The sequence below is a fragment of the Homo sapiens genome, chromosome 1 (genome assembly GCF_000001405.40).
Source record: "Homo sapiens chromosome 1, GRCh38.p14 Primary Assembly".
Taxonomy (NCBI): Eukaryota; Metazoa; Chordata; class Mammalia; order Primates; family Hominidae; genus Homo; species Homo sapiens.
The window spans coordinates 121,586,320-121,588,438 of record NC_000001.11 but is presented as its reverse complement, the minus strand read 5'-3'; the positions used below and the strand labels follow the sequence as shown (position 1 = coordinate 121,588,438).

Here is a 2,119-nt window from a genome sequence, read left to right as displayed (position 1 = left end):
TTCATGACTCTTGGTATGTTTTTTATTGAAACCTAATATTTTAGATATTATGAGATTCTAGATCTTATCTAAATTGGTTTAGTAGGCCTCCTCTGACACCACATTACTGGGGAAAGAGATACTCACTTCACCTTATTACTGTCAGGTAGAGTTAGAAATCTAAATTCCTCATTTTGCCTCCATTAAAAATCCAGGGTAAGAGGGGTACCTGGTTCCTCCACATCCAGAGTGGGAGTTCAGGCTTCTTAATAGGAATGAAAGGGGTTCCTTATCACCAGTTCAGGTGACAGTCTTGGCTCCCAGCTCCCTACTTGGGGAGGCTTTGCTGCTGGAGGTGGAGGTGGGGCCACAGTAGCTGTGTAAGTCAGAATCTTTTACTGTTTGTTTTATAAGACCTAATGTTGTTAGCTGTGCTTACCAGGAGTGGGGGAAAGCATATCTACTCAGTCTTTCCAGAAGTTGATCTCCCAATAATTGTTTTCTAATGCAGTCACCAAAAAACACAATTACTCACTTCCTTTAAGCTGGCCTCACATGCTTTAGAACACACACACTTATTTACCAGTCATTAATCATTTTAGCATATAAGTATTTCAAATAAGAGTCAAATAAAATACATAGTGAAATATTGTATATTCCCCTTAATATTTTTTCCTCTTAACTGTTAGAAACATTAAAATGCCCTACTTGGAATATTGATTCTCTTTTGTAGAAGTAGACATTTTCATAGAATATAAATTTTGAAATATTTTGCAAGCATTTGTGCTGAATCAACCTAAACTAACATGGCAAAATTAAAAAAAAAAAAAATTACCCAGAACAGCGGGAGTCTGGCAATATGGCCAAATAGGAAGAGCTTTGGTCTGCAGCTCCCAATAAGATCAATGCAGAAGGTGGGTGATTTCTGCATTTCCAACTGAGTTACAAGGTTCATCTCACTGGGACTGGTTGGACTGTGGGTGTAGCCAAAGAAGGGCGAGGTGAAGCAGGGTGGGCCATCACCTCACCTGGGAAGTGCAAGGTGTTGGGGAACCCCCTCTCCTAGACAAGGGAAGCCATTAAGGACTGTACTGAGCACTCTGGCCCAGATACTGCGCTATTACCACAGTCTTCACAACCCGCAGACCAGGAGATTCCCTTCGGTGCCTACACCACCAGGGACCCTGGGTTTCCAGCACAAAACTGGGTGGCCATTTGGGCAGACACCGAGCTAGCCGCAGGAGTCTATTTCTCATACCACAGTGGCACCTGGAAAGCCAGTGAGACAGAACTGTTCACTCCGCTGGCAAGGGAGCTGAAGCCAGGGAGCCAAGTGCTCTGGCTCAGCGAGTCCCACCCCCACGGAGCCCAGCAAGCTAAAATCCACTGGCTTGAAAGTCTCGCAGCCAGCACAACACAAGAGTCTGAGCTCGACCTGGGACACTCCAGCTTGGTGGGGGGAGGGGCATCCACCATTGCTGAGGCTTGAGTAGGCAGTTTTCCCTCACAGTGTAAACAAAGCCACCAGGAAGTTCAAACTGGGTGGAGCCCACCACAGCTCAGCAAGGCCTCTGAGGCCAGACTGCATCCTCTACATTCCCTCTCTGAAAAAAAGGCAGCAGCCCCAGTCAGTGTCTTATAGATAAAACCCCCAACTCCCTGGGACAGAGCAACTCTGGGAAGGGGCAGTTGTAGGCGCAGCTTCAGCTGACTTAAACGTCCCTGCCTGGTAGCTCTGAAGAGAGCAGCAGATCTACCAACAAAGCGTTCAACCTTTGTTTGAACTTCGTTCAAACTTTGTTTGAAAGTGGCTTTGTTTACACTCTGATAAGGGACAGACTGCCTCCTGATTGGGAGACACTTCCCGGTAGGGGCCGACAGACACCTCATACAGGAGAGCTCTGGCTGGCATCTGCTGGGTGCCCCTCTGGGACGAAGCTTCAAAAGGAAGAAACAGTTAGCAATCTTTGCTTTTCTGCAGCCTCCACCGGTGATACCCAGGCAAACAGGGTCTGGAGTGGACCTTGAGCAAACTCCAGCAGACCTGCCGCACAGGGGCCTGACTGTTAGAAGGAAAACTAACAAGCAGAAAGGAATAGTATTAACATCAACAAAAACGACGTCCACTCAGAGACACCAT

At 46.8% G+C, this 2,119-nt stretch overlaps 1 annotated feature.

Moving 5' to 3' along the window:
• Positions 680 to 1,507: an enhancer, noted in NCBI's record as "H3K27ac-H3K4me1 hESC enhancer chr1:121328730-121329557 (GRCh37/hg19 assembly coordinates)". NCBI's record gives its function as "activates a minimal SCP1, AML or CMV promoter by ChIP-STARR-seq in naive H9 embryonic stem cells {active_cell/tissue: H9 hESC(naive)}" and the evidence as "EXISTENCE:reporter gene assay evidence [ECO:0000049][PMID:30033119]".